The sequence below is a fragment of the Homo sapiens genome, chromosome 11 (assembly GCF_000001405.40).
Source record: "Homo sapiens chromosome 11, GRCh38.p14 Primary Assembly".
Taxonomy (NCBI): domain Eukaryota; kingdom Metazoa; phylum Chordata; class Mammalia; order Primates; family Hominidae; genus Homo; species Homo sapiens.
The window spans coordinates 27,976,443-27,983,721 of record NC_000011.10 but is presented as its reverse complement, the minus strand read 5'-3'; the positions used below and the strand labels follow the sequence as shown (position 1 = coordinate 27,983,721).

The 7,279-nt window shown below is 39.4% G+C and overlaps 1 long non-coding RNA gene across 1 annotated transcript; it reads left to right on the top strand.

The window, feature by feature from the left end:
- Nucleotides 1-962: 962 nt before the first annotated feature.
- Nucleotides 963-5,069, top strand: LOC124902654 (uncharacterized). The gene is made up of 2 exons (XR_007062635.1): nucleotides 963-1,544; nucleotides 4,607-5,069. It is a non-coding gene; the product is annotated as an uncharacterized LOC124902654 (long non-coding RNA).
- The last annotated feature ends 2,210 nt before the right edge of the window (nucleotides 5,070-7,279 follow it).

Here is a 7,279-nt window from a genome sequence, read left to right as displayed (position 1 = left end):
TGCTCTGGATGATGGAGCCTGCATGGGAGCATTCCCCACTGGCTGGTCAAATAGGGGCTGGTCATAAGATTTATTTTATCTAGAAGAGAACCGGAGCAACATTTAAAACAAGCCACCACTGAAATATTTGCTCCTCCAAGCACCTTAGAGAAGATTTGGTGAAGAATCACCCTAGTTGTGTCAAAGTAGACCTGAAGAACTTTGACTTGCTCAAAGTTCCTGATCTGGGTCCCCTGATTCCAGGCCATGAGTCCTTCTTTTAAACCATCATATAGTGTGTGAGCTGTCATCTGAGAGAAGCCCAGTAAGTATACCAGTCCTCAGAGTGCAAGGAGGCAGTTATTTCATAAATTACATGCTAGTGTTTTATTCTGGTCTTTTATTTAAGCAACAACAACTTGAGTTTCTTGAGAATAATATTTATATTTTTGGTGTGAGTAGTCTTAATCCTTTGTAGCATGTGGTAGGGATATAAACATACCAACAAACAAATGCGTAAATGAATTTGTGCTCTGAGTACAATCTGAATTCTTACAGTGGAATGCAGCATAATAAATCAATTAAATTTAATAAACTTTTACTTAGTGTGTTCATGATGATGTCTTGTACTAGCTTCCAGATCTAAACAAAATAAAACACACTGATTTGGCCCCAAAAGGCTCATAGCATAGTATGTAAGTATAGCATCCGTAATACCTTTTCTGGCCAGGAATGGGGCATAGAGCACAGTGTGCAGAAATAAGAAAGAGAATCAAAGCTACCATGGAATGAGGACTAATGGAGTACCAGGCACTGATCATTTAATCCTCACAACATGTCCATATGGAAGGTACAAGCACATTGTTCCCAGGTTCCCCCCCAAAAGAGATCAAAGCAAACCCTCCACTTAAGAAAGCTAAATATAAACTTTTATTACATCCCAATGCAAGATGTTTCCAATACAATCTATTTCCTTCAAAGGTGGGGTGGAGAATGAGGGGTGGGGTTTGGGCCACATATTTTTATGTTTACATTTTATTTCAGATTGGAAAATTTGTATTTCACTGTCAAATCAAGTAAGAACACATTTATTACTTAGTGTTGCTTGAAATAATATCTACAATGTTTAAAGTTTCATTTAAAAGCATAAACTTCTTTTAAGCTCAAAGTTAAAAACACAAATATAAACTGCATTTCATGTTCTGTTAATATTTAGCTGTGTGGCAATGGATGAGTATTTTTTCTCTGTGAGGCTTTGTTTTCTCATCTGGCAAATGAGGAAATTGATGCAGATCATCTTCAAGTTCCCTTCATGATATTTAATATAACTATTTATGTCATGCTTGTAAATAGTAGGTGATGATGAAGGTTACTGTTCCCCACAGGTGAATGCTGCAATGATCATTGGTAGGACTGTTAGGCTTTGTTTCTCAAGAGGATAATCTGATTGGGAAAAGAATAAGAGTGCAGCTGCAGCCCATCCTTGTGAAGAAGGTACCAGTGCGCTCTCAAAGCCAAGTCTTGAAAATAATAGCGAATGCTGTATTGGATAACAGCCATGCCAGGTGATTCATAGATTTATCTTATTTAATCATGGTAAGAAGCTTCCAAAAGAGTTTTCTTTGATGCTGAAATAAAACAAATATTTAGAAAAGTCAAATGACTTGCCCAAGGTGATATAGCTAGTAATTCACAAACATTCACACTAGAAATTCACACTCAGAAGATGTTCAAAAGGGGTTGCTTTGATAGGTCAGGCTAGGGCTGACTGGGCCCTGGGCTACTGTAACTAATCCTGAAATTCTCTAGGAGGCAAGGGTTATCAATACCCTCACCTGTAGCCCTCTAACAACAAGCTTGTATGTTGGTGTTATGCCACCCCCGCCCCCACTTTTCCTACCACAAAAGACTCACATAGTGTCAGTACAGAGCTGATGGCATGGATTCACTGGCCCGTGCAGGGGGTTTCAACATTTGAGCCAACATTTAAAAATTAGGAGATCACACATGAAGATGCATATTTCCAGTTTCTTTTCAAAAATCCAAACATCTAGAAATACATAGCCTACACTCTAGACTGCGAACAATGAACTGGAGCCAGGGCTGCCCTCTGCCTACATTGCACTTTTGCACAAATTATAAAAAAGGTGCCCCACTGGGCTGAGGGAGGCCAGTGGGGTCACAGCTTGGTGAGAAGAGAGCAAGCTGAATTTCACTTGCTTTTTTGATTCCATAGCCAAAGCCCTTGTGCACAGTTGCTTGGGAAATAGGGTAATTGCAATCATGCACCGTTACCCATGGCAGTTCTAGCCAAGTGGCTCTTTCTGCAGATGGTGCATATACTCTTTAGTTTGATACAATCTCTAACACTCCCTTAATCCTCTCTAGGAGTGAGGCCCAGTACCAATTAATTACTAAAAATCTATGGACTTTCAGAATTCTATACCCAGCCCACTTCACTCATTTCTCTTATTTCCTGGCTCCTGTAGGTCTTTTCATTTGCAACCCTTGCTCTAATGAGTCATGGAAGAAGGGTAGCATGGCGACCTTCATATATATTTGCAGGAATTCTCAAAAGATAATGGCAAACAGGCAGGCATAGGCTAGAGTTATCAATCTTGAGGGCAGCTGATCCCAACCATTTAAATATTTCCACAGATGAACTTAAGTTCCTCCATTCCATGGGCCTACTTGGTCTTCCAGCAACCAACTCTCCTCTTGAGGTGTGTCTGAGCCTCAGGAACTACTGCTGGGGTGGCTCACCTGCTCCAACCATTAGCTTTGCCCAGACTCACAGCTCAGCCACTATGGATTTATCCTTACCTTCTCTTAAATGCCCTGAGCATTCCCTTTACTGCCCTTTCCTTATATCTCATGGAGCACTGACTCACAAATCAATGTCAAAAGTGCCACATTTGATCATTCCAACTGGACACAACCCTCTTCTCAATTAAGGAAGCAAGCCCATTGCTCACTTAAGCCCATTGCTCCCTGTTATGGGCTGAATTTTGTCCCCCAAGAAAATGTGTTGAAGTCCTAACCTTCAGGACCTCAGGAGGTGACCTTGTTGGGAAATAGGGTAATTGCAAATATAAGTATTAATATGAGGTGATACTGGGGTAGGGTGGGACCTTAATCCAATATGAATGATGTCCTTATAACAAGAAGAGGGCTGGGTGCGGCGGCTCATGCCTGTAATCCTAGCACTTTGGGAGGCCAAGGCAGGCAGATTACCTGAGGTCAGGAGTTCAAGACAAGCCTAGCCAACATGGTGAAACACTGTCTCTACTAAAAATACAAAAAATTAGCCGGGTGCAGTGGTGTGTGCCTGTAATCCCAGCTACTCGGGGGGCTGAGGTAGGAGAATTGCTTGAACCAGGAGGCGGAGGTTGCGGTGAGCAGAGATGGTGCTACTGCACTCCAGCCTGGGCGACAGAGTGAGACTTTGTCTCAAAACAAAACAAAACAAAAAGAAGAGGAGAGACAGACAGACAGATGTGAGGAGAACCATGTGATGACAGAGACAGAGGTTGGCATGATCCATCTACAAGCCAAAGAATACCAAGGATTGCTGGCAACAGCCAGAAGCTGGGAGAGGGGCATGGAACAGGTTCTTTCTCAGTGCCCTCAAAAGAAATCAACCCTCCTCAAACCTGGATTTTGGACTCCTAACCATCAAAACTGTGAGAGAATAAATTTCCATTGTCTTAAGCCATCCAGTTCATGGTAATTTGTTATAGCAACTGTAGGAAACCAACAAGCTTCAGTTAATAAAAATCAGTGTAAGTCTGGCAGCCCAGGCCTGGACTGTTAAAACAATGCAGCTGGGATTTATTTCAAAAGGACAAAGCCCAATGGGCGACCCCTTGGCTTTGGCCTGCTCTTGATAGCCTGGGTGAACTGAGCAGATTGGAGACTGCAAATTTTTCTTTCTGTGTCTTAAATATGAAAAGTCTCTTGAGTTCTCCTAACTTGCTATCCGACACTCTACTACTCCCTTTCTCCCCATCCCCTGACATCTCCGCTGGTAGTGTGTTAAGAGCAGTGTTTCCCTGCATGGATGGTGCTCACTTCTTTTCAATAACACTCTCTTCCCTGAATAAACAATATCCTGACCTAAGTGATGGTGTATTTAGGTCATTAAGCAAGGTAGCTATGGCAGTAGAAATGAGATGCAGCTTTGTTTCCAAGGTATTTTTGCTTTTGGTCCTATTTATCTGGATAATGTAGTACAAACACAGCTTCTGAAAACTGACTAACGAGAAAACTGAGAATACAGAGTTGTTGCCATTGAGCAAGGAAGCCAGGAAAAGGTGGAGAAGGAGCTCTCATAGGAAGAGGTGGATCATTTTGGGTAAATCACATCCCCTCTCTGAACTTCAGGTGTCTTAAGAGGTGTAGAGTAGAACAGATATTATCTTTTCTGCATCCCTGTGCTAGAGTTATTTGACTCTATTGTCTTAAAAATGACAATATCTAAAAAGTCAGAATATGCAATAGCCTCAGGCTTCAGGTTTGCTCCTTTTCAGGGGAATGTTCATTAAGAACATAACTGCTTTTCGATGATGGCTTTTGTAATCCTTGAGGCACGCTATGGACATTGACTTACCATGCCTTTCTACTACAGATACAGAGAAGCCACAGATGGCATTGTCACCAGAAAATGGAAGCACAAAGCGCTTTGGGTAACAGCAATTCAAGAATGACTGCAGAGAAAATCTATTAAGAAATTCAAATGCAGATTTCAATATTTACTCCTTTTCATTCTCTTCCTCTCTCTCTCGCTCACTTGCTCTTTTTCTCTCTCCCACCTTGTTTTTCTCGCTCTCCTTTTTTTTGCATACAGTTTCTCAGTAAAATACATTTGATTAAATTTTATAACAAACAAGCTTATGAAATGCAGATATACAAAAAGGAAAACATAAGAAGCATGCATAATTCTACCACTGAAAAATACTACTAAAATTTGGTATTTAAACTTTTGAATGTTTGTCACTGCACTTGCATGTGTGTGTAAATATAATCTCCAACTCTGCAGAGAAATACAAGAATTGTTATGAACCTTAATAAACTCCCAAAAGATTTCAAAAGCAACTTCTCTGTCATTAGAATATACTCAGAAAGTCAATAACATATTTTAATCCATTCCAAGAGCCCCATATTTATTGGGTCTATGAGAAAGCAATTTATAGCGTTGGTTTTTTTATAAGAAGAGTAGATGGCCATTTGGGGGCAAGTCATGTGTCATTTGGAATAACCACAATAGGTGGAAAAAATGCCTCAGATTCTGCTGCAAGACTAAGAGCCACAAGGAGCTTTTCGTTCCATCACTAGTTGGACATTTATTGGACATCAATTTCATATACAATCTCATGGTCTGCACTGGGGAATGACAAAAAAGTATAAGAAATTATCTCTCACCTGAAGAAATGTATAGTGTAGGTTTGTTAAAAATTAAGTTTTAGAACTCATTTTTCAAACTAAAATCTCATGCTAAAAATAATATATAGAATAGATCAAAGCAGACTATTATGAAAGATGCAAAGATAGATGGGCCTGGGGACCCATCCATCTGTTTTCCTCAAGTACCACTTAAGGCCCCCACAAACTATAGAGTGGAAACCAATAGCTACAGGAGATAAATGAAAACATTGACAGGTCAAGGTTTGTGAATATAAGTGTGGTTGGTCATGGTAAAGAAACCACAGTTAATACGCTCCCTCTGCGTGCTGGATGCTCATCCTGGAGCTTTGCCTCTATCAATTAACTTAATCCTCACAACAGTCTCGATCTGTAGGTATAATAAATCTAGGTTTGAAAATACAAAAATGACTTGTTCAATATATCTCATAGCTATATTTAGCAGATCTGAGTTTCAAATGCAAGTCTAGATGACTCTGACATCCATGACAACTCTTACACCTAAATAGAATGCAAGATTTGAATAACTATACACACACACAAGCACGTGCATGCACACATGCACACATGCACACACAGGATATACATGATTAATTGTGAAATGAGAGGTTAACAGTCAGGTTTGATGTGTCCTGATTAGTGAGGGGAAGAATTTACCTAAAAATTCTGGGTGTAGTCATTCAAGTATGACGTAAAAGGGAATGGATTGCCAGGTAGATCATGATGAATGAACAAAGATAGAGATTTGTGGATATATTACACAAACTGTGTGTGAGAAAATCAGAGGATGGAAATCTTTATTGTTAGAATATCTGCCTGGAGGAAGAAGGACTTGATTTAGAGTTAAAATAATGCTTGGTAGCCTCAAAGGATCTCCTCCCCAATATTTATTAATTACTGTGTTGTTTTAACATATGTCCACAAATCCTTTGATACTCCTCCCTCCAGGTGGTAGAAATTAATGTTCCATCCCTTGAGTATAAGCTAGACTTAGTGTCATGCTTCTCTGAACACAGTATTGGGAAGAAAAAACACAGTAACAAACTGACAGACACCGTCTTAACCAAGAGATCAAGGTTAACGTCACCAGCAAGGAGTCATATTGGTATCATGCTGAATGACGCTATGAGAAAGGCATTTGCCTAGGTGGCATTCCTTCCCCTCAATCCATAACTTCATTCTAAACATGAGACCATCAGTCATGGTACTTCTAGATTGAAGTAGGTTGTACAAAATACCTGACCACTACTTTTCAAAAGGGTCAAAGTTATGAGAGACAAGAAAAGACCAAGACACTGTCCAGACTGGGGAGACTGGGGACACATGGTGATTGATACAATCTAATATTCTGGAACAGGACATTAGTAGAAAAACTGGAGAAATATTAAGAAAGTGGTTTAGTTGTTGGTATTGATCTGTTGTTATTTTCTAACTTTTTTAAAAAAATTATAGATGGATTTGTATTTCAAAGATAAAACAAAGGTGCTTCTTAGAATTACTGACATAGGGCATAACAAATTTCCCTATAACTAGGGATCTAATTTTGGGTTCTCTATTCTATTTTCTTAGTTTTGATTAATGTAAGATGTTATGTAAGATATTAATATTAGAGGGAAGCTGAGCACAGGATATATAAGAATAATCTTTGTAAATGTTCTATAAATCTAAAATTATTTTACAATAAGAAGCTTAGCTCTTTTTTTTTCTTTTTTTTTTTTTCAAAAAAATGGTGCTTGATATATTAATGAGTGCAGAGGAGTTAAAGAATGTTTCCAGTTGGGGGAAGAGCGTGCATAAAGGCACAGAGGCTGAAAAGTGTGAGACGAGTTTCAAGAATGAGTTCATTTAGCTGGTTTAAAAGCAGCCCTGGAACCAAGTA